This window comes from Homo sapiens, chromosome 6 (assembly GCF_000001405.40).
Source record: "Homo sapiens chromosome 6, GRCh38.p14 Primary Assembly".
Taxonomy (NCBI): domain Eukaryota; kingdom Metazoa; phylum Chordata; class Mammalia; order Primates; family Hominidae; genus Homo; species Homo sapiens.
In genome coordinates, this window is record NC_000006.12 from 90,370,267 (window position 1) to 90,397,293 (window position 27,027).

Here is a 27,027-nt window from a genome sequence, read left to right on the forward strand (position 1 = left end):
TGGGTATAATGCCATGTAAATACATTTGCATTTATGAATGCAAATGCCACACAAGCATGCCATCATTAACAGTGCAAAACATGAAATTTTAACAAAATTGTTGGACTAGAAGGTAAATTTGGTATCTAAAATTTTAAGACTCAGTTTAGCTTTTGAGGTTGCTCAAAGAGCTTGTTTTTCTTTTTGACATCAATCCTTGTAAAGGGAGCATGCACGTGGTTGAGCACAGCTATGTATACCCACACCCCTGTGAGTGCAGTGTACATATCTCTATCTGTGCTGTTTACAACATTTAAAAGTTCCTCGTGTGAATCAGAATGAACCTAGGCAATAAAGGTTCACTTGAGTCACTGAAGTCAAAGAATAAGATGAGCAGAAAGGATGGCTCCACAGGAAATGGAGTTCTGGGTTAGTTCTGGGTACTAGGGAGGTGTCAGCCTTGTGGACTGAAGCTCTTTATCTCTGACTCCAGCTACAAAAGAAGAGCATATTGGCCTTGAAGGTATAATTGATCAGCTGATGTAAGAACTCATTCCTTTAATAGGGACTCATTTCTATCCATCCATGAGCTTTGCACATCCATGTATGAAGTTATTGCCTTTCTCCTGGTTGGATTAGAGGCTTAGTAAGGGAGAGTCAGCATTCTTGGGACATTCACTGTGTGAGATCACTGGAGCAAGTGAGTTTAAGCACTAAAGGTAAGATTCTGATCTCTCTTTTTGGGGACTTCTTTTGCTAGGGCCTGGGTTCTAAAGTTTACTATAGCTATAAACCAATATTGTGCTAATGTTTCTTACAAGAAGATGAATTTTGAGCAAACTCATTCATTAACATCATGTTTATCCTTTTATTGTTAGTTATAATCATTTGTCACTTTAAGGTCTTTTTAGCTCATTAGAGTGTGAAGTATACTAAATTCATATAAGCACAGCCCATATATGCTTTTTCCAAGAGGGCCAGATACTTAGAATCATAAAATGTTATAGCAGAAAATGACCTTGGAAATCATCTAGTTCAATCCCTCATTTTACAGATAGGGAAATTAAGTTCTATAGAGGTTAAGTGACTTGTCAAAGGTTAGCGACCAATAAGTCGCAGAACCAGGGCTTAAACCCATTTCCTGATCCTTTTTCTCTACTGAAATCACCATTAATGATAGTGCCAGAGCAGGGCTGCAAATGAAGAAAGGACTGTCCTACAACAGGCACTTCAAATAGAATCCTGTCCAATGAATATGCTATTCCTTATATTTTCTCTGTGGGCATTAATCTCTGGTATATATATTCAAAGCAGATGCTAACGACTTCTTTTTTAATCCTTGGGCAATTCTAAATTTTCAAAGAATTAAAAGGGCTGCTTAAAGAACATAAAAAAAGCAAATGAGGGTTATTTATAAGAAGGAAAAAAGGTACATCTTCAGATCCACTTCACTTTTCCTTTTCTCCAAGCAGTAGTCACAAGGGACATTATCAGATATTAACATGATATAAACAATTGCTAATATCGACAAGCCACATTATACCATATTCCATTAAAATTTAATTTACCAATAGAAGAAATACGGAACTAATTTTAGATTTCTATCACCCACCCAAATATAATTTTATGTTCTCTTTAATTCTGAGATCCCCAAAGCTTATGTCCCAAACATTTTGTGTCATCTAAGAAGAAACTGTATTTCCTACTGCAGAGATTTAGTGCCGCTCCTGCCAGAAGTCAGTGAAGTGTTCTTTTGTTGGCAAGCATTATAGGGCTGGGGTCTAAAAGAAATTAATTTGAGCATTTTGGTTGATTTTAATAGCTTGACCTCTGAGTGTGCGAGCAGTGAGGCCAGGGGGCAATGGCAGGCCATCCACGCAGCTGAATTAAAATGAAGCCCTGGCCTTGCTCAGGGAAACCTTCTCTCACCTGCTTTTCATTTCCTTTAGCTATTTCTGGTAATGAAAACTGGAACCACTGCTATATATTTTGGAGTCTAGAAGTTCTATACATTTTTATTTCATACAATATGCCTATAATTAAATGTAGGTCTTTGTTTATAAAAGGACAAGACCTAAGTGTTCCTGGAAGAATATGGAAAAAAATCTTAAAAGGTATTCCTTTAAAAATAGTTTTTTTTTCATCCACAATTCCAGATGGAAGACTCTCCCGTGTTACAACCTTCCTACCTGCCCACTGACATTTTCATTTGCTATTCCTTATCTTTCTGCATGCTGGCTTTGCCCTTCAATAAGAACCAGAATGGTAAAGTGGAATAATACTATTGGCCCGTTTTAAAGAATCTGAGAGAGTTCTCAGGAAAGTTGAAAGCATTTGGATGGGAAACAGCTCTTCCTGAATTCGTTTCTTGTTTGGGCTTTTTCTCCAATCATCTCCCAGACAGTCCTGATGTCTGTATCAAAGGAATGGGACGTGTGGCTCAAAAATGCCAATTGGAACCTTCCCCCATGAGCTCGTAGCATAATTTGTGATGAGTTCAGACCTGAAATTTGGCCCAGCCCCTAATCAATCATTAGGTGTTCCTGTTATTTTTGTATTGCTGGGGGCAGCCTGCCTGTCTTCTTATCGCTGTCTTTAATTGACATTCTGAAGTACTGCTATATTGATTGTGACTTTTCTCTCCCCTCTGGTAGCTACTTGGAATCTCATTGATGAGTAGTAATAGCATGATATATATTCATGTGCACATATGCATGAACTACTATGTTCGGTATTTGCATTTGCCTACACGTCTGCTGTGCAAGGGTATGCCATGAGAGAATCAGCTTCATCCCCCCTCCCTGCCATATGATGTCTATATATTTATGAGTAGGAGAGAGAGGAGCACTTGGATATATGAATCTGCTTGCAATTTCCTAATGGAATCTGGCAGAAGAGCTTTGCAATAGGACAAGTTCCAGTAAAAAATGTGTTCATGTAAGCACTTTCCCCTTGTGCCTGCCACCTATTTGCCTTTCCAGAGCATTGAAAAGATTAATCATGGGATGATCTAGATTCTCCTTTTGGTCAGTAAAACATAATACTCATCTGGATTCTCCTTTTGGTCAGTAAAGTATAATACTCTCTTAAAGAAGTGGAGAATATTAGAATTGTATATTTTTAATGGTATATCCATGGAGGAAGAGTCCAGGTGAACAAGTTCTTGAAGGGGAAATATATCTTATCAATGGCCAAGCTTTCTGTAGCTGACTAGGTTTTGGTACTGTCATTTGGGAGGTGTATGCTCATAATGCTTTTTAAGGAGAAAACATGAAAATTGTCGACGAGATTAAAGTTGAAGGGTTTGAAATGTAGTAGGCACTTCTTTCTTGGGAGTGCTGCTGTGTTAGGAGGCCATCCTGAGACTAGAGCCCTCGCAATTCAGAAATGGCTTTTCTACCTCATTAATGCCATGATCTTTTGTTATCCCCATCTGTGCCTGAATGGACAAAAGGTATCCATTTAAATTATGGATCTTAAAGAGAACCTTTGCAAAGGCCCCTCTAATGGCCCACATTCATACCCCCTAGCTTTTGCCCTCCATTGTGGCCTCAGCCTGGTAACGGCTGCTGGGATGAGTGGAATTTCTGGAAAGGGGATTGATGGTGGTTAGAGATGCCAACATACAGAAGCCACAAAACTTGGAAATGTGAAATTCTCTGTGTGCATATCCTTTAACTGAAACTTTATGTGTCTCAAGTGAATGAAAAATAAGTTATTTGGGGAAGCCTTTGCCCAATTCACCTGGGATAAGAAGGCCATTGTATCACACATATAATTCCCCAGAGGCTCTAATACTGCAATGTAGCTACACAGCCCTTGGTAGAAAAGATTTCTAAAGAGAAACCTCATCTTTCACACTCTTCAAAAGGACGAACTTTTTGTCAATTATTTTTTTCCTTCAAAGACAAACTTCAATTAGATCAGAGTAGTTGGTAAAGGATATAAAGATAAATGAGGGCTATATTTGTTTAGAATTCACCTAAAAGACAGAGCCAAAATATAATAAATTCGTTTGCTATGGACACTTTCAAAGATTCTTAAATCCCACATGACCTCCAGCATTGTCCTCATATGGAAGACTTGCCCTAGGCAACATGTGTGGAATTTGATGGTTAAACATCTGTTGTGACGACACTCTAGACATCTTAGGGAAGGATCCTAAGTGTTCCGGCAACAGCTACCAAGCCTAGCAGATGGCAGGATGACTGTGGGGACAGACTGGTGATCCTAGAATCGATTCATATGAAACAGGTTCAGGAGGAAAAAAGATGCAGCCTTGCACCATTCAGCATTTTCTCCATAGACTAAGCTCTGAAAGTCTCCTGCAGCATGATGCCATCCATGTGTTTGTGTCTCCTGAAGGGACAGTGGCCTTAGTGGCTTCCTCACAGAGTCTAGAGGGCCAGAACTGGCAGCTTTGCAGATGTCTGAAGATGTGAATCAAACGAAAGAGAAAATTATAGCAGCTGATATTTATTAATAGTGTTATTCAGATCCTCTACATCTTTACAGATATTTTGTCTAGTTTTTCTGTCAATTGCTATGGGAGGGGAGTAAAATCTCTAACTGTGATTGTAAATTGTCTAGATTGTCAATTTTTACTTTGTGTATTTTGAAGCTGTTATTAGGTACATATACATCTGTAATTGTCATGTTTTTTGTGATTATGAGAAGCCCCTCTTTTCCTCTGGCAAAACTCTGTAATGAAGTCTGCTTTATCTGATATTATGAAAGCCACTCCAGCCTTCCTATATAGACTGTTTGCATAACGTATCTTTTTTCCATCCAATTGATTTCAACTGATTGGAATCTTTACATTTAAAGTGTATCTCTTATAGGAAATGTATTAGTTTTGAATTTTGCTCTGTGTCCACTCTGACAATTTCTTCCTTTTTGTTAAAAGTGTTTAGTCCACTTACATTTAACGTAATTGTTGATATGATTGAATTCAGGCCTACCACTTTCTTGTTCACTTTCTATTTGTCCCAAGTGACATTTATTATGTGCTGTTAAGAAAAGTTATCTAAAGCTTGGAAATAAGGAAAGATGATTGTGTGCCTCTCAAAGTCAGCCTAGAGCATTGTCTAACAAGCCCACCTAAGACTCAGCTGAAGGCCAGAGGAAGATAATTTTGACTTACTATTTACTATTAAGGAAACTAATGCACAGAAAGGCTAGTTAACTTGCTCAAGGTCACCCAGTAGTAAGCATTAGAGTTTGAATTGAGAAGCCAAAGCCGATATATTTGATCACTTTACCTTACTGCCTCCCACTGGTAATTGCCTTATCATTGAGCTTATTATGGATTAGTATGAGAGGAAGTTGGGAGAGCTATTGCTGCCTGTTGCTAGCTCTGGTCCTGCAGATGGCATTTTCCGTTAAAGGGAAAGGCAGCTGTGCAGAACCTCAAGGTGCACGTGAACTAAGCCCAGGGGTCCCGGGTCAGTGAGGCTCAGCCCAAATGCATTGGGAACCAAACTCACACATGGGTGTTTGCTCACTCTGTTGATCAGGATCCCCTCGTGTGTACCGCTGCTTAACACATGATTAAGCGCATGTAAAAGAAATGCTGTTTTCAGGAAATAATTGCTGAGCATTCTGGTGACGTATATTTGTTCTTCTATTTTGATAGGAGAGTGGGGCTGAGGTGGGGGGAAGGAGAAGTGTGACCAACCAGGGAAACACACTGATGTAGCAAATGTTAGTGATGTTTTAGTACTTCCTCATGAAGCAGTGTGACCTCCTGCCACCCAGACAGGCTCACTCTTCAGATTTTCCTTGCTCACTAGCCACAGCTGTTTGTTGTTTTCTTAAATGTTAAGCTTTTTATAGCTCTTCAGTTGCTTATAAAAAGTACCAGTTATTCAGGCCATACAAGAACTGGCTCTGTGCTGGTCTAATGAGCAGTGAGAACACTGGAGGCATATTTTTGTTGCTTCTATTTTCTCACTACTTCCCCTTCCCCCAGTCTCACAAATTTCCCCTTTGGACTTAAATGACTCCAGAATCTTGGAATTTACTAAAAAGGCGAACCACCAATTGGTCTTTGCTGTTCAAGAAAAATTCATCACTGACTCACCTCCCTCCCAGTTCTTGGCTCTCCACGGCTGTGTGAAGAGTAGATCAACGGGTGGGGCCTTGTGTCACAAATCACGGCTGCTCCTAGGGGTCCAGGGTTGGGGGAGCACTCCAACCTGTACAGATGCACCTGTGATCTCTACAGAAGAGAAGTCTCATCTTTGCCCCCGAGGAGAAAAGAGCCCAGGACTTGGAGTGCCTTCGCTGAATAGGTAGGAACTTTCCAGTTTGCATCCTCTGTGAAAAGCAATTAGGACCAGCTCCAGAAGGGATCTGATAGAATCAGAAGGAAGAAGTCAGAAGCCACAGTCAAGAACGCAAACAGAATTGGTATATTTGAAGGAATCAGTCTCCCTTGTGCTGGGAGGCCTTCACAGTGTCATCTGTGGGTTGTACACACATTCTACAATGACTTCCCATGATAAACATAAAACTCTCGGGGAAAACGTTGTGATCTTAGTGCAAGAGGATATCATTAAACACAACATGGAAAAAATCCTGTTAGGAGAGCCATGGCTGAGAAAATCTGTATGTGTGTTCTAGCATGGAGTTTCACCATGTATGAGCTCCAGACCTTGGGGGCACTTGGACTGATTACAAGGGTCCTAGCATTTGGAAATGATTTAATGAATAACCATCTGACACATATGTGTTCTATTTTCCACAAGAATGTAGATACTGAAATGATTATTAAAATATTAATTTAAATGCAATATTGAATTATTAGTGTTTTTTAAAAGTTTTTGATTTTTAAAATTTTTATTATTTTTTTAACCTTACTGTATAGCTGTAGAATAGGAGCTGCTGCTTCAAAAGCCATTGGCCTCATGTCCAGGATGTCATAAAGAAACTCCTTAGGAGCCACTGGCCAACTATTTGGGTTGAAGAGGGTCAAATTATGGGGTTTGTTTTCGGGAAACCTTATCCTCAGCCTTGTTTTCTTGGTGCTTGCTCTTGTTAGAAAGGAGGACAACTTACCTAGCATATTACATGGGATGATTTTGCAGAACGAATCCTCGTTAAACATGTTTTGAGATGGAAAATAGACATTTTCCAAGTGTCGGGCTTGTAAAAGGCCTATTTATCAGAGTGAATTGTGTATGTTTTTAGCTCAGAGGCTTTGATATGTACCTATTGCAATTCTGTGCTTTTAAGTGTCCATATAATAATAACAATGACTAATGTTTATTGAGCATTTATTACATGCCAGACACTATTCTAAACACTTAACATGTGTTATCTCAACAAATTTTCAAGTTTTCATGGTAGCTATTATTTTTTTCTTTTCTTTTCTCCTTCCTTCCTTCCTTCCTCCCTCCCTCCCCTCCTCCTCCTCCTTCTTCTTCTCTTCCTCCTCCTCCTCTTCTCCTTCTCCTTCCCCTTCCCCTTCTTCTTTTTTCTTTTTTTCTTTTCTTTTCTCTTCTCCTCTCTTCTCTTTTCTTTCTTTCTTTCTTTCTTTCTTTCTTTCTTTCTTTCTTTCTTTCTCCTTCCTTCCTTCCTTCCTTCCTTCCTTCCTTCCTTCCTTCCTTCTCACTTAACATGTGTTAAACTCAACAAGTTTTCCTGGTAGCTATTATTATTTTCTCTTGCTTGCTTGTTTGCTTGCTTTCTTCTTTCTTCTTCTTCTTCTTTTTTTTTTTTTTTTCCAGACTCTCCCCTCTGTCTCCCAGGCTGGAGTGCAGTGGTGTGATCTCAGCTCACTGCAACCTCTGCCTCCTAGGTTCAAGGGATTCGCCTGCCTCAGCCTCCCAGGTAGCTGGGATTACAGGCACCCCCTACGACACCCGGCTAATTTTTGTATTTGTAGTAGAGACAGGGCTTCACCACATTGGCCAGGCTGATATTGAACTCCTGAACTCAAGTGATCTGCCCACCTTGGCCTCCCAAAGTGTTGGGATTACAGGTGTGAACCACCGTGCCCAGCCTATTAATTTCATTTTATACACCAAGATATTGAGACTCAGAGAACTCAATATGTCACCCTGGCTTACATGCCCACATGTAACAGAGCCAGGATTTGAATCTACACTGTCCAACTTTGGAGCCAGCACTTTTAACCACTGTGCTATATTCTCTTTATGTTCAATGTCTGACCCAAACTAGAATTTTTTGTATTATGAATTAGCATTAAGGGGTTATCCTTCCCATCATTTAATTTAGGATTTAGATGTCTATTCTCATTTGAAAATTATTCCATTATGTTGACTATATATATATATACACACACACACACACACACACACACACACACACACACACACACACATATATAGACTATCAAATATATAACATTGTGGAAATTCACATGTACCAGTTTTAATTTTAGCCATTAATTAAATGAATTCTATTTAATAAAACCTTTCACTTCTTCCCCAAGGACATTGTCTCAGGGGCTCTGTGGAATAAATGTGAGAGTTTATACTTTCTTTTCTTGGCCTCAGTTCACCAATCTTTGAAGCGGGGCCACCTTTACTCTAAAACCATTAATTTTTCTTAATTAAAGAAGATATACAAATGGCCAATAGGTACATTAAAAATACTTACATCACTAGTTATTAGGAAAATGAAAACAACAAAACACCACTACACATACACTAGATGGCTAAAATTAAAGTCACTGACAACACCATGTGTTGGTGAAAATGTAAAGCAACTAAAACTCTCATCTGCTGCTGATGGAAATGCAAAATGACACAGCCACTTTCAGAAAAACAGTTTGGCAATTTCTTATAAAGTTAAATATACAGTTACCATATGACTTGCCAATCCTATTTACCCATGAGAAATGAAAAGCTATGTCTACACAAAGACCTATACCTGAATGTTTATAGAAATTTTATTTGAAATAGTCCCAAACTGAATGCAACCCAAATGTCCATCAGCTAGTAAATGGATAAGCTAATTATGATATATCCATACAATAAAGTATTATTTAACAATAAAAAGGAACTGATAGGAACCAATGAACGAATCTCAAAGGCAAGGTGCTAAGTGAAAGAAGCTGAAGAAAAAATCATATACCTACTATATGATTTCATTTATATGAAATCTAGACAAGGCAAAATTATAGTGACATAAAGCAGATCTGTGGTTGTCAGGGAGGTGGTCTTGGGATGCAATGGAGACTGGCCATAAAAGAGCATGAGGAAAGATTTGGAAATGATGGAAATGTTCTATAACTTGGTTATGGTATACACTTGTCAAAGCTTAACGAGCAGCACACTTTAAATTACACCTCAGTAAAGCTGATTAGAAAAAATATATGTGATTCAGCTGTATATGAGACAATTCAATTTTTATAACTCTAGGTTTGGCTTCCATTGAGGTCGGCCTAACTTATTTCCCCAAATATTTAACACAGTTTGTGATTTAAAATGTTTTTTTATCTGTTATCTTAAAACTGAAGTTACTTCTTCAACTGGAAAAAAATAAGTTTTTTGAATTTGTTGTATAACAAATATTTGATGCAAAAAGAAAAATTGAAATAAATTTATTCATAATCAAGATAACCCCATAACCATTTATTCGATGGTTGTACAGCTCTCTGTGTCAGTTCAGTTCGTCTTTATACTTGTTGATCCACTGTCATACTGGATCAACTGTCTTGTGAAGACTTTATATTTAGAGTATTGGAATTTTTGTGGTCCTGTGTGACATACTGGTTGTCATATGAGTCCCCTAACACCAGAAGAAATTCTCCATGTAGAACAGAGGCTGAAGCTGAACTCCTCCTGAGTATGGCTTAAGGCTCAGTTTAATTATATGGAATCAGTTGATGGTTTGAGGAAAAAAATAGTTATCCAGTTTATTCTGTAATTTTGCTTTGAAAACCAATTAAATAGTATTTTTTCCAATCACCATATTTCCTCAGAGATATGAATAGATATCTACTCACCATCTCCTTCAGTCAAATATATTTATTAGGAGTTTATTTTAAGCCAGGCATTACGCTAGGTACTCTAGGAGATACAGAGCTGCTTAAGCTATCATGATCCTTGTCCTAGTTGGTTAAAATTCTACACTTGGAAATTTGCTCAAGTGCCTATACAACACATACAGTTGTCCTTCGGCATCTGTGGGGGATTCGTTCCAGGACCCCTCTGGATACCAAAATCCAGGGATGCTCAAGTCCATTATATAAAGTGGTATTGTATTTGCATGTAACCCATGCACATTCTCCCATAGGCTTTAAATAATCTCTAGATTACTTATAATACCGAGTACAATATAAATTCTATATACTTATATAGAATATATGTAATACATTATTATATATACAATATTATAATACCTAATGCAATATAAATTCTATATAAATAGTTATATAGTTTTTATTTGTATTATTTTGCCTTATTATATTGTTTTAAAAACATTTTTGATCCACAGTTGGTTGAAACCATGAATGTGAAACCCGTGGATACAGAGAGCTGTACACAAATCTGCTTTGGCTATTTCAGGTGTAGGACTCAGAGACATATTCTGAAGTTGGAATATTTAAAAGTGACTGTGGGATGCTAGAAAGGGCATGACCCTTAAGATAGGACTCTCACCAGCACTTCCTTCATACCTGAAATGGCACCTCTGGAGGAATATTGTGTTAAGCTGTCTCCTCTCCTGCCAGCTGTTAGTCAAAGGCAAGTATCCCTGGAGAGAGTGACATATTAAATTCCAAATTCCTCAATATTATTTAGGACTTTCAGATTTTATGTTTGGTGATAGAGGTAATACTTGTTACTCCTCTATTGAGGGGCAACCTTTATCAACTTACATTTTTTGCTTAATGCTAGCCCCAGAAAGGCTTGCAGACTGTCCAGTGATAGCTAAGGATGGATACATACAGAATGAAGTTGCTACTCAAAGTGGTGTCACTAACCCAGTATTAGATCATCTGGGAGCTTGTGAGAAATGCCAGATTTCAATACCTACCCCCATATCAATGGAATCTGCATTTGAACAAGAGCTCCAAGCATCTAGTCCAACATCAGAATGTTTCTTCCAGTCAGTGCTGAGGCTTTTCTGTTTCCCCTTGCCTACTAGTAGTATGAACATTTGAAGGTCCAATTCCTTCTGCTGGAGTCTTTTGCGATATATTGAAGGTCAGGTATCTGATTCCTTCTGCCAGGAAGAGCCCTTGAACTATTTAACAGATTTCTTCCAAGATCTCTTCTAATGTTTACTTACCTCTTGCAGTTCAATAATCATCTTTCTAAGTAAGAGGAAGAAATTGCAGGTATCTGAAAAGCTTATGCACACAGTCAAAGGGGGCTCAGATTATAAGAGCCTGCTCTGCAACACACTTTATTCAATAAATGTTAAATGAAAATAATAAATGCCCTTCCTCTTGGCTTGGAAATGGCTTTTACATGGCCCTGGTACAAATACATTTTGTAAACCCTTCAAAGTACCTGTTGTTTCCTTCCTACCCAGCTCCTTTATGGATGACTGTATTAACTTACCGAGGTGTGCATGGATTACTTTAATGATTGAGTCTACTTCTTCCAAGCTCTGGCTGATGTCTAAGAATAGACCTTTCTCCTTTGCACAGAGAACACAATTGAGGTGCAAACTGACTAGTGTCCTAAAATAGTACCCACTCCCCCTCCATTCTTTCAGGAGCTCCTTGTCCACAGAGGTAGCCTGTGCCCCCTGCTGTAAGAAACCACTCAGAAGTTGGAGAAAATAGAGAAGGTGTGAGGAGTCAACCCTGGAGAAGTCATCTGACCTCTCTGAGCCTTAGTTTTCCGACCTGTAAAAGGAAAGAATTGGACCAGATAATGTTTGAGCTCTCTTGGAATAGTATGAACATTTTAAACCAGGGAAAAGGAGACTGGGAGTTAGCCTGTGGAACCATGGCATTTTAGAAATGTCAGATTTCAATACCTGCCCCCAGATCAATGGAATCTACATTTGAACAAGAGCCCCAAGCATCTATGCTAACATCAAAATGTTTCTTCCAGTCCTGAGGCTTTTCTGCTTCTCCTTGCCTACTGGTAGTATGAACATTGGAAGGTTTATGACATTTTATAAAGCCATTTCATATTCATTCCCCTGTGCAATCATCAGAACTCCAAAGTAGTGCTCCTATTGTACAGATGAAGAAACTGAGACCCAGAGAGGGTAAGTGACTTCCTCAGTGGCATCCAACTCAGATGCTAGAACCTGGACTCAGGACTTGAACCCAGACACCCTGACTTCACCTGGGAGTCCTCCCACTACATCTCAGCTGTCACTGAGAGGCCATTTGCTTTGTTTAATAATGTTCTTTAAGGCTGTGCAAAGGTCAACATTCAAAATCTATCTGTTGCTATAAGTAGGCTAAAAGAAACGAACTTAAAAATAGTCTCATGCAGGTATACAGCAGCAGAAAATAATACAACAAATGTGATTTCTATTTGGATTATACACCCTGGGGGGCAAAGTGCTATTCTAAACATTGCCTCTTGAGGGTCAAATGTCCCTGCATAAGGTAGACAGAGGCAAGTACTGTTAACACCATTTCAAAGAGAGGAAAACGGGGGCAGAACAATTAAATGGGCTTCCTAAGATTTCTCAGTCAGACACGAACTATAATTCCAGATGCCCAACATTTCTGTGGTCTTTTCCGCTAACTCACTGCTGATTGTGTGCGCAGCCACTATGCTCCACGTTCTCCTGCCCAGGAGGTGCTGTCCCTATCTGGTGGCCCCAGAAACTAGGGGTAGGGGTGAGGGTGGGGAGTTTGTAAGGAAACAACTGAAGTGCAGAATGGAATGAACCTATGGATGCCTTTAGGTTTTGATAACAAAGGAAAGAATCCTTACATTCTATTCAGGACGTTATTGGATTTAAATATTTTACCAGCTTCAGCTAAACATTTTCAGATTTTGACTCTGCTAAAGAACAGGTACTTATTTATCTGGAGTTCGATTACAAATATAGCTTTGTTCTGCATGGATAAAATGCAAAGAAGTCAAGAACGGTTAGCTAGAGTCAGGGCAAGTGAGAAAAACAGCTACTTCCTTTTTTTTTTTTTTTTTTTTTTTTTTTTTTTTTAGTAGTAGTAGTAGTAACACCCAAGTTGCAAAGAGGCTAAGAGAGTAATTCAGTGTTGTGGTTAAGCGTGTGGGCATCAAACTGCTTTTGCATTTTAGCTCTGACACTTACTGACACTTGCTCACCCTGTGACCCTGAGAAAGTTATTTCTCAGGTCAATTTCCTTATCTATGAAATGTAGATAATAACGGAAACTACCTCCTAGGGTAGTAGTGAGGGTTAAATGACTTAATACCTGCAAAGTGCAATAAGAGGAACTCAACAGATGCCAGCTATTATTGTTATTGTTATTAGTGAGGAGGGAACAGTTAAACATTTTGCTTTTATTTGGCTTAAGCCTAGTACTATATACTTGAATTCTAACCAAGTAAAGAACAAAAATTATCAACTGAGAAAGCGTGTGATGGTCCAAATCAAGAGGTGAGTTACACATGGGCTGGGAAATAGCCCATTTAAGGTGACCAAACACAGATAATAATGCAAGGAAATGGATAATGCAGATAACCTAATGCAGAATTAGTAACCTAATCCATTGTAATATCTACTGTCTTAAGTGATGATGCGGTAACCAATGATTAAAGGCCTTGAAATCCAGAAAGACAGAAATAAGTTTTAACATACTGGATAAATACACTGTACTTGATCACAACAGGTTGTATAGTTATGAGAAGGACAATTCCCCCCAAACAAACAAATAAATGTCTACTCCAGTTTATACATCAGTTTTTAATGTGTATAGTGTGAGTCAGTTCTCCTGATTCTAATTAATTAATGCTGCATGAACTAATAAGTCTTGGAGCAAGCAACACTGATGCCCCTGCATCAGAATTGAGAATTCCCCGAGCACTATGGCCTGTGGAGTCTGCCTATTGAAGTTGTTTTATCTCCTGGTATATCTCTCATTAGATATCAGAGTTTAAAAGATCAGGATTCCTATTTCAGTCCTACCAATGTCATTATACCTAATACTTTCTCTGCTTATCAGGAAAGACAAGAATGCTCTAGAAGCCCTTGTAGGAAAGCTGAGGGTACAAAAGACTATACTAAAGATAAATATTACAGCTTAGTGGAAAGTCTCCTCGGACACAGTGAGTAGCAGAGTCTGGAAATGACTGGAAAGTGGTCAAAACAAGCAGACTTCCAGAAGATCTAGATGATCCTTACATGCAAATTTTAGTCGTATACAATTGCCAATACAATTGGAGATTAAGATGCTTTTGTTACTAGCAAAGCTAATTCCTGGGCCACAAAGGAAACTACTTTATTACCTTTAACATCATTCTGTTTTTAATCTAAAAATAATCGTAATCTAAAAATAATTTTAATCTAAAAATAATTTTAGAAAATAATCTAAAAATTATTTTCCAGAGCTCACTCTGTTCTCTATGCATGCCTCTGATTCTCGGCAGTTCCAAAAAGTCGTATCCACTCTCAAGAGGTTTAAAACTTGCCACCACTAAAGAGCAAAGGAATGTGGTACAGGTCTCAGGACAGTTTCAAAGGAAGTGACCCAGAGGCTGAGCAGGGGCACAGTCTTTAGAATGGAGGCAGATCCTCTCAGGCGGCTGGTCTGATGGAGCAACAGTAACTCGGCTGGGTAAATTCCAGCACATTTGGGATGGAGTACAGCATGGTGCTGAGTGCATGGACTCTTGGAGTCTGTCTCCCGGGTTCTAATCCTGGCTCTGCCATTTACTGGCTGTATGACCTTGGGCAAGGTACTTAACCTCCTTGTATCTTAATGTCTTCATCCAAAAATGGATTTAAACCTCATAAGGTTGTTATGAGGATTAAAGCAATTCATGCATTTAGGGTATCTGGCACATAGAAAGCATTGTTTTAGGGCTGATTACTATCACGTACCTTTTGCCCCCTCTTGTGAGATCCCATTGCTGCTTCTGCCCTCCTGGGATGTAGCGGGGGCAGTGCCTCCTCCTCAGTGAGTGCCACCCTGGTGCCCCTGCAAAGTTTTACTTTCTTTTTTCTCTCTCCTTGCCTTCTCTTTCTCCCTCTCACCTTCTCTTTTCTGTATATCACTCTTCGTCTCATCTCTCTCTCAAATATAGGTGAAAATTAATGATGAACCTGACACTATCTTTTTACTTTTGTGGGTTCAATGATTGATATATGTGCTTATATGTCTATTTGGTTTTATAATTTAGGAGAATTATAAAGAATCAGGGAACATATGTTCTATTTGTTTTAGTGTTATAGTGGTAGAAAGCATTGTACTTTATGCTGTGTCAATATTCGCATCTCAGAAGTATTAGTATTTGCAATTTGTAAAAGATGATGTTTGAAATAAACTATTTTCAATGAAATTTACCATTTGAAAATATCTACTTGCAAATTTTGAGGAAGAAAACAACTTTTGAAACTGAGCACCATTTAGAAGTTTTATTCATGTTATACCTAGAACAAAAGGAATTTTTCAAATAAAATGTTAATGACAAAAGCCACATTTCTACGTATTCATTATAGAGGTTATCATAAGGACTGGGATAGGTATAATTTCTAAGAGCTAAAATTAAAATTGGTCTGTTCTCTGTTAGCCAGATGTTGGTGTTGGAACAATGTAATGCATTGCTTAACAGTAGGAGGCACCCACCAGGCTAATTTATGGGATGAGGAATGTTAAGGCCAATCAAGTGATCTAATTGTTTCAACAGTGCTAAAGGATTTATAATAATCTTCAAGATCAAGGCTGTGCTAATCTGAACTTCCCCTTTCCCACCTCCACCCCCTGCTTTCTTCTCCCCCTCCAAGCAGTTATATGGTATTGTGCTTGCCAAGTTTAAGTTGCATAGGAAGCAGTTGAAGTGGGGGCTTGGGTTCCAGTCCCAAGGTAAGATTACATATGAAAATCAGTGGGGGTGGTCTTTCTGTAATTACCCTTTGTGCATTTTGTAAAACTACTGCTGGGCTGGGAATGACTGACAGCCTTGACTCAAGGGAGGTTTGGCCAGGAAAGTGTGTGTTTGTAACGCTGGGGTAGAATTGTGCAGAGAGAGAGCCCCAGGGGATCAAGGAATCAGGGCACTGAGGTAGCCAGTCCTCCCTCAACTGACACACCTTCATTAGCTCCTCAGACTGGCTTACTGACATGAATGTGGATGACATATTAAAAATCCACTTTAACCAATGTGCTGTGAAATGAACTTAGACAACAAGAACATATATGGCTTCCCAGATTTGTTTATTCCAAGCCCTGAAATGCACAGAGGGCAGTGTGATGGATGAGGGATGTCAAGCTCTAGATGACGATCACTTACACAGAGAAGGCATCTGTGTCCCCATAACATTGCACTGTTTGGTTAGATAAAAAGTGAAGTACAGGTATGTGCAATTTGGTTTTTTTCCCCAGTGCATCCAACTTGCTGATTTTTACAGTTATCATAAAGAAAATATCAGCTTTCTAATGCACAAGAAGATTTTTAGCTTTAGTTAAAAAAAAAAAAAGAACAGAAAGGGAAGACAGAGTTTTATCTCAGCCTTTATGGTGGGGCTAATGTTTGCCAAACCATTAACAAGTTAATGTGCAAAATCCTGAGGTGTGAGGGTGAGTGTTATTGTCCTGGCTTTATAGACTGCAGTGGAGAGTACTTAAAAGTTGTATGCCAGGCAAGCAAATCAGCTGGGGACTGGATTTCATGAGGCGAGGGACCCTTTATCTATAACACTGTGATTAAGAAGGGAAAAGACACAGGATAAGAAGACCACGAGGAGAGAAGTTGTGAGGAAGAAGCAGGACTGGTGAGAGCCACGCCACGTGGAATATAAGAGTCATAGGTTCCCTTTAGCATTGGAGTCGACTGGACACAGGACAGGGAGGAGATCTTGGGATGCTGCCATAGGCTTCTGTTTGCCAGCCTCGAGGCTTCGCTGGCACCACTAGGAAAACACAGTACTTTTGTTCTGGTGTGAGTTGCCTGGATGTCGGCATTCGTTTTTGGGGGGCAGTAGGGGTGGGAGTGTTGGGGGAGGGGAGGGTGAGGGAGAGGGGAGCTTCCTTTCTCTATATCCTAATCCATATTTTCTAATTGATCTTGCTTCTCCGTGAGTATTGGTTTCCTCACCTGGAAAATAATTTAACTTTGGGGAAGATTAAATGAGGCACTGCCCACTATAGAACAGGCATTCATTCCACATCCATTTCCCTTTCTCTCTTTTCAAAAACCTTCAGGGATTTTTAAATGACATACTGCCTGAGTCATCAGCAAAGGATGTCAAGGCACACAATTCCTCTGCTGGGGTTTGGTTCTCAGGGGAGCCCTTCTGCTGGGGACCTCAGCTGCCGCAGAAGAAAGGGGTAGACGCAGCAATCGCTCCAGCTCTTCACTCCCAACTCCCCAGGTCAGCGAGTGGGCCACCTCACTCAGCCCCACAAAAGGCTTGGTGGAGACCAGCTAATTAGGGCTCACACGAAGTCCGGCAAAACAAAGCCCAGATAAGGGCATGAGGAAACCATAACTTTGTCCTGTTTTTTCACACAAGACTGCCCATTTTCCAGAAGACAACTAAACCTGTTTCTGGAGACCATAAATATCAACACTTGCAATCACCAGAAGGTTCTGGACCAGGCTATTTTCAGACCTGGGTTTAGGCACCTGCCTTGAGCTGTGTTCTCCTCCCTCTCTCCCCTCCTCCTTCCCAGGGAGTGGCAGTAAGGTAGAGATGATTGACAGGTAGCTCTAACAAACTGCAAATTTGAAGGGGAGGTCCACACCAAAGTCACTGTTCCCACCCCCAACTGCCGAGAGGGGAGCAGTGATATTCTTAATAAACCTGCCCCATAGACAGACTTCTGTCACAAGAGAGAAATAGGAAGAATTTGCTTCTCTTTCCTTTCTCTGGTTAAAGGGCTGCTTGACTCTTAAGATCCTCATCTTGGCAATTTTCTACATAGAGTTTCCATTAAATGACAAGCTTGGACAACGGCTTCAAATAATATGACTTGAGGAACTTAGTTTAAGAAAGCATAATAACTGCCTGGAATGAAAAGTATTTAGGTGAAGAGAGATGTGAAATAATGATAGCTTTAGTTTACCACATCAGATTTGGTGACAGCTTGTGTGTTCTCATGTGTTGATATTTGATATCAGCATGAAAGTGAGTGTGGGCTATTTTGTGCATGACGCAGGGTCCACGTGGGAAGTGTGGGAGCTGCGGATGGGATGGGTGGGTGAACCATGTCGTATGAAAGAAATTGTACCCTGACTGACTTAATTATTTGCAAGGGTGGTTTAGAAAAGTCATTTCCTTCAATCATTCAGATCCAAAGTACTTATCTTGCAAACACCCACCCTCCCATTCATGAAAGCATGACTTCTCTTTCACTCAAAAGCCTACCTGCTCCTGGCAAGAGAGGTGAAAAATCAGTGGCTTCTAGGCCTGTAGCAAATAGAAAAGCACCGGTTTTACCATTTACCCATCCATCAATGATTGTTTATTTTTGCAACTGGCTTGATAGTAGCTAGAGAACATGCAGTTTAAACATCCACAAAACAAATGCTTTGAAATTTGATTTGAATATATAAGAGGATACCCTCACTGCAAAAACAACCCTACATTCAATTAAAATGGAAAATCTACTGTCTGCTCACTTCAGCTAAAATCTAAGATCTTGTCCTCAAAATAAGGTAGATTCTGGCACACCCTCTTATGTTGGGGTTGCTTTCTTTGCCTTTCAACAATTAGTCAAAACTGCCAAGTGTTGAAAGGAGTTCCCATTCTCATGCCCCAGTGGAAAAGAAGCAAATTCCTACCCTCCTTTCTAACCTGAGCCAAGGTCTACCATCAGCCTTTGTGTTTCACTAAGTCACTTGTTTACACCTGGGGCATGAGGACTGGTAAATTCAGGCTGCTGTTTAGCCAGTACACACAAGTATAGCCATAGCCATAGTAGAATATCCTAACATTTTCCCATTGGCTGATAAATAGCTGTTCTCTGAGCCCCTTGGGCACCCCTCCCCACCCTCTCTTCTGACCACCTGGAGCACCCCCATGATATGGCAACTGAAGGGTCAACATGTGGCACAGCTGGGGCCTTCAGGGAAACTGGGTTGATTGTTCAACCCCCTTTCCCTCCCAGTTGTTAATTTGAATATCACTCCTGGCTTGCATTCATCATGCTGAAAATGACTGATTACACATCTACCTTCCTCACTATTTCATGCAAACTCTTAAATGTTATGGTGACATCAATAGTCCTTTACTACTCGGGTAAAGAAGGAGCCAGTAATTAGACATTACACCTAGGAATTTGTCTCAGTCTATGCACTTAGCTTCTTTCCTCTTATTCAATGGGGGTTTGATCCCTAGGGACACAGGCATTTATTCAACAGTTTAGACCAGTTAATTAAAACTTCAAGGCTTCTGTAAATACAATTCTTCCTCTGCAAGCGCCAGAACACTTGGTATGCAGGCATGGTAAGAGAAGTAAAAGCACAAAAAATAAAAAATGGAGGTGGCCCCATTCCTTTCTATGTTCAGGGGCTTTCCAAGCATGGGCCCAAACTGTGATGCATGAGGAGGGACCCAGGGCGGCCATGACCTGGCTCATGTCACCTCAGCCACACTCCAATTGAACGCTCATGTCTTATTGAGGTATGGTTTCTTCAGGGGGCTTCCTAGCAGCTGAATTCTTCTCGTGAAAAACACAGGGGCTGCTGGGTGTATAGATTATTTTTTATTTCTTCAGAAAGAAGAAATAAAAAGAGCTCAAAAGTCCTGTTCTTTGCTGTTTTGTTTTTTAAGTTTGCACATTTGAATGAATATATAGTGTGTAAGACAAACTAAGTGATAAGAACATTTTCAAATGTTAAAATTTAAGTGCCTTCAAAGTTAAATCAGTAAATAATGACAATATGCAAGTGGCCACTGCATATGAGCAGGGATTTATAGAATTCGAATTTCACATGAGCAGAGCAAAACTGGACTTAACTTTTTAAAAAGTCAACTTCAAACCAGAGGGAAAAGCTGTAGCAATCAGTGCGGTGTTTTTAAACCTGAGTAACTTAAGGGTCATTTCAAAGGAAGAAGTCCATTGGAGTCCCAGTCTTAATCTGAGATAATGCTACTTAGATATCTAAAGCAAAAATGAGACACAAACATTTCATGCTTTAAACTGTTATACAATTCCAAAGAAATTTTCAAATGAAGTAAAAACAAAACTAAACATAAATGAAATTTAAAATAATAAATTATTTCTTTATATTATTTTAAAAATTAAAATGATTTATTATTTTAAAATAATAAATTATTATGTGATTTTAATATTGACAGATGAGGTTTTATTGAGAATAAATTGCCTCTTGCAATGGGAATATGGTGTTGCCTACTATGATATGCATTCTGTTCAGTTCAATATTTATCACTGTAGGCTTTTGGAGTGACTCAGTTCTCCCACCCATTTTCTCCATTTAAACTCCTGAAGATCCATCCTTGCATAGCACATTGTTATAGCATTTGGACTTTACTTGGTGTAAGCACATCATTTATGTATCCGAACTTCTTCTTTTCTCTTTTAGCTCTGAAGTTCAAGTAGTGTTATTTGACAATGATTTGATTATAAATACTCAGGCAAACACAAACCCTGAAATCATATGGCATTTCTTGCTCATAATAAAAATGACTAATAGCTATAAGCTGCTTAATATAAGCCAGACACTGTTCCAAGTGCTTTATGTGTTTTAATCCATGTAACCCTCATTGCCGCCTCATTGCATTGGGGTGCAAATGAAGTCACTCCATATGCACATGAGAAAACTGAGGTACTGAGAATTTCCAAGGTCACAGAGCGAGTAAGGGGCAAAGCCAGGATGTAAACTTAGGCAGCCTGTTTCAGAACCAAGCTCTTAACCACTGCGCTCTACTTCGACAGGTAATTGTAATCCAGAATATGCTTACTTTTTTTATGAAATATAATAAAACTCAAAATTAAACATTCCCCTAGAACAGAGTTAGGGCCTCTTAGAAATCATCCGTCAACCCCAATTTGAAGAACAAACATTCAATTATCTACTCTTAAACCCATTACTATTTCCAGGAGTCACTACAGCATGGTGTTCTTTAATTCTTTTTTTTTTTTTTTTTGAGACAGAGTCTTGGTCTGTCACCCAGGCTGGAGTGCAGTGGCGCGATCTCGGCTCACTGCAACCTCCGCCTCCCAGGTTCAAGCCAGTCTCCTGCCTTAGCCTCCCGAGTAACTGGGACTACAGGCACGTGCCACCACACCTGGCTAATTTTTTTATTTTTGGTAGAGACGGGGTTTCACCATGTTGGCCAGGCTGGTCTCAAACTCCTTGTGATCCACCTGCCTTGGCTTCCCAAAGTGCTAGGATCACAAGCGTGAGCCACTGCGCCTGGCCTAATTCTTTAAATTATAAAAATATATCCTAATTTTATCCACAATGACCTCAGTTAACCATAAGGTATTTTCTAAGGCCATAGAACTATATTAGATAATTGATATGAACCCTTGTTAGTAATCAAGATGATAAAAGATATGACACGTAGACACATTGAAATGTAAATATTTATACTGTCTTAACAAGCAAGGGTAATCAACTACAGATAAGGCAGGAGTCAGTGTCATTGCCTCTGATAGGAATCAGGATGAGGCTGAGTATTCTGGGGTGAGTGGGGTAAGCTCTGAGAGACAGTAGGAGACTAGTGGTTGGCTGGAAACTTCAGAGGAAAGGCTGGGTGCAGAAACCCACCCAAGTTCCCCCTCCCTGGGAGTGGCCACTGGCAGAAACTCCTGGAGACAATGATCAGAAGTTGTAACTAACCAGGACTTGAATGAAAGGTTTCAAGAAATCTGGGAGTAGCAGACTGGGAAGATTCAAGAAGCAGGCATAGAAAAACATCTGAGCCTTTTGCCCTTGATATATATATATATATGAATACTTACTTCCTCCATTTACATATATAAAATTATATATATATGAATACTTAGTTCCTCCATTTACATGTATAAAATTATATATATATATATATATATATATATATATATATATATGAAGATTTCCTCCATTTAGGTATTTGTTCAAGTTTCTTTCTCATTTGTCTATGTCTTCAACAGGTTCATCTTTATCATTGCTATTTACTTGTCTTAGATTGCAAATGAAGACAAAGTAGGGAGCACGTAGAGTTTACTCTATACATCACAGTACAGTAAAAGACATCTAAAGGGCTTTTGAATGATGAATTATTCAAATTTATTTACTTATTGTGCACTTATATAAAATTCTTTTTTTTTCTTTGAGACGGAGTCTCGCTCTGTCACCCAGGCTGGAGCGCAGCGGTGCAATCTCGGCTCACTGTAACCTCCACCTCCCGGGTTCAAGCAATTCTCTTGCCTCAGCCTCCTGAGTAGCTGGGATTACAGGCTCGTCTCACCATGCCCAACTAATTTTTGTGTTTTTAGTAGAGACAGGGTTTCACCAGGCTGGTCTCGAACTCCTAAGCTCAGGTGATCCACCCGCCTCAGCCCCCCAGAGTGCTGGGATTACAGGCATGAGCCACTGCATCCAGCCAAATATATAAAATTATTTGTGAGCTATGAATGGGTGGAAGTATGAGTAACCTAGGGTCTGACTGTTTGGAAATTTCACACAGTAAGATAATGAAGGGTACACATGAATGGAACAGATAGTAAGGCCTGCCACTGAATAGTAGCAGTAGTAGCAGTAGTAGCAGTACTAGTAGTAGTAGTAGTAGTAGCAGCAGCAGTAGCTAGGCTCTTGGGTTGTGGGGTAGAGCCAATTCCAATCTCAGCTCTATGAACCACTGTTTGGGTGTTCTTGGGCAAGATAACCTCTTCTTATCTATAAATGGGGATGATGATGTTGATAGTAATACCTGTATCATAAGGTTGTTATGAAGACTAAATGAGACGATACATGTACCATGTTTAGCATGTCTGCTGTGTAGAATCTAGCTCATCAAATGTGAACCTGCAGCTGCTGAGGCTCTGCTAACAATAACCGTGTCTGAACAAGGGTGCGCTTTCCAATTCGATTGTGCCAGACTCACTACAGGATGTAGAAGGTGAGGAGAGAAACCCCGCAAGAGACAACATTAATTTGGTAGTGCCTGGGGTCAGCGTGTGTGTGCACCACTGCCCTCTACTGGAAGCAGTTCCCACAGATTTCTAAGAAATAACCAAGTGATTTCAGCACTCCCTTGTTTCAACATCCTGTAGTCTCCTTTGCAGAGAGCTTCACAGCCCATCTGAGATAATCTCCCCCCCTTTTCTGATACTTAGAGGCAGAAAAAATCCTATTGTCTGCTAGCCTCAGCTTCTCACCTGCTTTTAACTAATATGCAGTCTGGACAGGTATTGATTTTTCTGCTTTTCTCTGATTGCACTCATCAGTCATTTTATATTACTGGAGAGTCCATTAGCAATAAAAATAAAGGATGGATGTTACAAAGCCCATTAGAGAAACTTGCTCTCTGGATCTTTGGGACCAGGAAAACAATTAAAAGCACGTCATCTTATAAACATTCTAATAGAATTATTAGAAGGGTGAATAAACCCAGGATGTGATTACCAAGGGATGAAATGAAATCCTCCTTACTAGTCAATTAGAAGGGATTGCCCCGATGTTCCATAACACTGTGGTATGTAGGTGAGATGAAAAGATTAAATACTAGAATAAAGGACCATTACACAACAGAGATTCAGCTGTAGGCTCCCGCATAAGTGAATTTCAGGGCTATGATGAAGAATCTGAGATGAGAGAAAGGAAGTGTTTAAATATAAAAGAAAGAAGTGACTATCCAATTCTGACTTGGAAATGTAGGTAAGTTGATGAAACAAAGCCATCACTTCACTAGGTTGGGTCTAACTTGCTTCCCTTGTGCAGACGGTCACTGAAATTCTTCATGAGAAACGGAGAATAAAGCAGGACCAGACTCCAAGACTCTGATGCTTGTTGCCTGGAGAATGTTACTGATGCTGCTGCAGGTCCTCATGCTTCCTGGGTTGGCATGAGCTATGGATGTGAGTGACTAGCATCATTCTTAGCACAGGTTGGTACTCAAATATGTTAGTTCTCTTTCTCCTTTCCCCACTGGTGGGAGGGTGCATAGAATCAATGATTTTGAGAAGCCCATATTTCCAGTGACTATTATGCTGCATTTAACTTAATTTCCTTTTATTTTCATTAGCTTCTAAGTGTAAACAGTTTTCACATTAAGGGCTATTTGGACGTTTATTCTCTTTAGATGATCACTGAGTATATGTTAAGTTGGTTGAGGCTCTTTGGTCCAGAAAGCAGTAGATACTTGCAAAAAAATCATGTTATAGGTGGCAAATTTTTTTTCAACTTTTATTTTGGGTTCAGGGGGTATACGTGCAGGTTTTTTACTGGGTAAATTGTGTGTTTCTGAGGTTTGATGTACGAATGATCCCATCACCCATGTAGTGAGTATAGTACCTGATATGTTGTTTTTCAACCGGGGTCTCCCTCCCTACCTCCCACCTCTGGTAGTCCTGAGTGTCCAGTGTTCCCATTTTTATGTATAGGAGGCAAATTTTATGGTTTTTTTTCTCTCATCATAACAAGACATCAAGTTGTTTGGCATTGTACTAGGTTTTTCTACTGATTATAAAGTTGCTACACTGTGTTCTTTTCTCTAGATTGTAATTTATTATCTGTAAGTAGTATAACAGTAAATACTGAGAATAATTTTTAAAATTAACAATTCCACCTCTCTTATATATGAAGTATTTACATTTTCCATGTTCTTCCAATCTTTATCCATGTGGATGTTTACTCTTTATGTAGATTCTTGCATTTTTTAATTTGATGTTATTTTACATGCATTTTAATGTTACTTCATGGTAGCCATAATTACAATTTTAATGGTTGCAAAATATTTCATTAGATATATGTCTTAATTTACTTAGTAAATTATCTATAGAGGCATTAAAAGTTTTTACCATCAAGTTTTTAAAAACCACTATAAATAATGTCATCATGGTTATAAAAACAGATCTCTTTCTCCACTTAAATCTCAGTATTTCCTCTGAATAAATTTCCAGGAGTTGGATTATGATTCCTGATGTGCATGGCTAATTGTTTTCCCAAAAGATTGTGTTATTTTGCTCTGCCAAGAGCAGTGGATGAGACTTCTCTTGCTTATCCTCTCAACAGCATTTGATACTGCTGACCATGCCTGCCTTCTACAAATACTCTCTTCCCCAGGGCTCCCTAGGTGCCTTTCTATTCTAGTTTTTCATCTACCTCTCTGGCTATTCTTCTTTGATCTTCTTTGTCATCCCCTCTGCCTCTATCTTTTTCTTCAATGTTTGTGTCCATCAGGGCTCAGGCCTGGGCTGTTTTTAAGGCTTCCCTTTGGAATATCTCATTCCCTCTACAGTGGGTTTAATTACTGTATCACTGGTCATGTGATATCCTCTGCACATCAGACATATATCTCCAAATGCTAAGTGGGCATGCTGGTCTCCCTGTCTCCAGTCTTGTTCCCTCAAAACCATTCTTCATAATCCAGGCACAGTGATCTCCCAACACATAAGTTGGAGCATAAAATTGAGATTCCGAGACAAGAATCCCAAGACCCTTTATGGGATCTGCCTGTCCCTCTTGCTGCTCTGTGTCCCACTCCACTCTCCTGCCCTTTCCTTGTGTGTGCCATGACTTCATCTTACCTGTCTTCCTATTCACACTCTTCTTCCAGCTCTTTGTCTGACTGACTCCTACTCATCCTTCAGGTCTCAGAGAGGCCTTTCCCGAGCACTAGGCAACTTAGCTTTCCCTGTTAATGCTCTCCAGGTCCCTTATCCAGTTATACCATTTGCTACACTTGAGGCCTGTTCCTGGGTGCATCAATTTCCCAGCACCTCTGGCTTCCCTGTGCATAGGCCAAGCATTATCCTAAGTCCAGCTGACGTACTTAGCAGCAGGTGTTTGCAGAGGCTGTGGTTGTGCACAGAAGCAGTGAGCGCTGAGGGCATATGGACAAGGCACTGATAGCCTCTGCTGCAGTCTACTCCTTCCACTGCCTAAATGCACTCATGTGCCCTGTTAGATTCACGCTGACCCATCCCTGATTCTGCAAGAAGGTGATGGTGGCTCACCCCACTCTCACTTAGTTTTCCTCTCAGTTTCTTAAAAGGAAAACTTTACAGGAGGGGTGCTTGTGGGCTGGTGGCACAAGCTGCCATCCTTGATGTTGCCCTGAGGCCATGGCTAATATTCATCTTTGCAGAAGGCAGCTTTCTGGTCTAGGTTGCTTGCCTGGTGGAATAACCCTGAAATTTACCTCTGAGGATCTGAACTTCTGGTGGCCATGTTTTTGTCAGGCTCCGATTGCCTCTGGTGATTGTGCCTAAAGTTTCAGGAATAGGAAGCATGAATTCCCTAACTCAGTCAGTGGAAGTAATGATGAAATGACCCACTCTTCCCATCTGTTCAAAGTATCTAAAGTATACTGTGTATCTGGAAAGATGACTGGGCCTTTTTGGGGGTTTTTGGATACTCTCAAGCTGGCAGCCTCCAGCTTGTGCAGCATATAAAAAGTACAATGGGTCCTGCAGGTATAGCCACTGTTGCACTCCCTTGCCATAGAGTGGGTCCCTGGGTCTGAAGCAATGTTATGAGTGATGTGAACAAGTCAGAAGCTCTGAGAGCACTCAGATGGTGGGCCTGGCCCAGGCATGGTGGGCAGGGGAGGTAAAATCCAGGCCCAGAACGTATATCAATCTTAATAAGGACAAATTACTGCCCCAGCTCTTGTCCTAGGTGGACGGGATCTGATATAATCAACTTGCACCAAGTGTTTGTTTGGTCTCCTCCAGGCATGGTATCTTATCCAGCCCTGGGGTTTGTTTCTGCTGCTGAGAGATCAGACAGCAACAGCAGTAGCAGTTGGATCAACCTCAGTGTTTGATCTTTCCTCCTC

General features: G+C 39.9%; 1 annotated feature.

Annotated features, from left to right (window-relative positions):
* Positions 15,450-16,044: an enhancer, noted in NCBI's record as "OCT4-NANOG hESC enhancer chr6:91095435-91096029 (GRCh37/hg19 assembly coordinates)". NCBI's record gives its function as "activates a minimal SCP1, AML or CMV promoter by ChIP-STARR-seq in primed H9 embryonic stem cells {active_cell/tissue: H9 hESC(primed)}" and the evidence as "EXISTENCE:reporter gene assay evidence [ECO:0000049][PMID:30033119]".